Genomic DNA, 1,762 nt, shown 5'->3' with positions numbered 1-1,762 from the left:
GTTGTAGCACACGGCACTCCAGTTTAAATGGCTTAACACAGTAAATATTTATTTCTCACACACATAATGGGGCCATGAGGTCAGGTGGGCATTTGGGCTTTCTCCTTTCAACCATTTAAGGGCTCAGTCTCCTGTCTTATAGCTCAGACTTCTAGAAGGTCCTACTAATATATTCTGTTCTGTAGTCAAATGAAGAGAGCAGAACTGCAAGGGAGGATTTTATGGGCCAGGCCTGGAGCACATTCCTTCTGCTCAAGTTCCTTTGGCAAGAACCACATTCTTTGTCCACATGTAACAGTAAAGGAAGCTGGAAATGAGGTTGGTTGAATGAATGAATAAGTTGTAAGTATACACAAATTTCATTTTAAGACAGCAGCACACACATTGTTCTTAGATGATTAAAACATTAATCTCAATGGAATTTGTTAAAAAGCAAAGGGACTGAGTTATAACCAGCTGAACTAAATTTCATGTTCCCTTCCGCCTTTGTGTTGTGAGAGCTGTTGTAGCTAATTTGCAAAATGTGTCCTTCTCTATGTCAAGTTTCTTTCACAAGTTAAAAACAAACTCATTTTACTCAGGTCTGCTTTAGCTTTACCCCTCCTCTGACAATGACTTTGCTCTTATTGGAGGCCACAAAGGACTTACGGGTGCAATGTTTTTGATAGATGGCTTTCTCCCCAACCCCTCCATCTCCATTCTGCTGCCCAGAGTGTCACCTTGCCTCTCCAGGCCATCTGCACTTGCTCTTGGATGAAATAGAATTAATGCCATTTGCTGTTTTCCTGTCTTTCGTAGCTCCAAGATGTGTCCCTGTGTCCCTTTGTTGGCATGCTGGCTTATACAACAGCTGCTACTTTCAGCCATCCCTACTGAGAGAAAACAATAGCGTTTCCTGTTGATATGGCTCCTTTGTTTGGAATCAAAGGAGACACGTTAAGGCCACGGGGTCCTTTTTAATGCTGTCTCTGGGGACTGTGGGGTTTTTTGATCATACACTTGCCAGGATTAAATCCAGCATGAGTCTTAAGGGTGCATTCTTGGGGGTGGTTACTAAGCACAAAGGGGACAGAGAAGAGTAGTAACAGGATGGGTTCCCTCCTGCTTCTGCATTTCCACATTTTCCACCTCTAAGCACATTCTGCTTCTGCAGTGATTCTGTTCCCCATTTCCTATGTTACACAGCCCACAGACCACAAAACAGCGAGCAGCTGGGAGTCATGTGCCTTTCTTTACTTGCAAAATGGCATGCAAGACACTACAAAGCCATGCCAGTCCCCTCTTCCTAGCTTTTGCTCTTCTGTTTGACAGAGGCCCACTTCATCTTTGTGCCTAAACTGTCAGGTCTGTCCTGATTTCTTCTCAACATCTCTGTACCACTTGCAGTTCAGAAGTAATGCCTACTGGCAGTGACCATCTGAGTGTCTAGCTGTGACACAAGTGAGCCATCCATAACGACACTCTTCATGTTCCCACATAGAATGCTGATTTGCAGTTATAACATGAAGCTGACCATTTTTGAGGGTTATGTGCCAGGTACTGTGGTAAGTACGCTGCTTTTGTTATATCATTCAGTCCCCACAATAATATCCCAGAGTTGGCACCATTTTGCCCAATTTTATAAATAAGAAAACTGAAGCCGGGACAGAAAACCTTGGCCAAGGTCATATTGAGAAGCCCAGAGCTAAGACTTGAAGCATATTTGTGCGACTTCGGAGTCTTCGATCCATAATTCTATGCTGCTGCCTTGAAACTAGTGAAG

The 1,762-nt window shown here is 43.5% G+C and overlaps 1 annotated feature.

The window, feature by feature from the left end:
- Positions 532-1,223: an enhancer, noted in NCBI's record as "OCT4-NANOG hESC enhancer chrX:14369907-14370598 (GRCh37/hg19 assembly coordinates)". NCBI's record gives its function as "activates a minimal SCP1, AML or CMV promoter by ChIP-STARR-seq in naive H9 embryonic stem cells {active_cell/tissue: H9 hESC(naive)}" and the evidence as "EXISTENCE:reporter gene assay evidence [ECO:0000049][PMID:30033119]".

Source organism: Homo sapiens, chromosome X, assembly GCF_000001405.40.
Source record: "Homo sapiens chromosome X, GRCh38.p14 Primary Assembly".
Taxonomy (NCBI): Eukaryota; Metazoa; Chordata; class Mammalia; order Primates; family Hominidae; genus Homo; species Homo sapiens.
The sequence above is the reverse complement of the archived record's forward strand: the minus strand, read 5'-3'. Positions and strand labels throughout refer to the sequence as shown.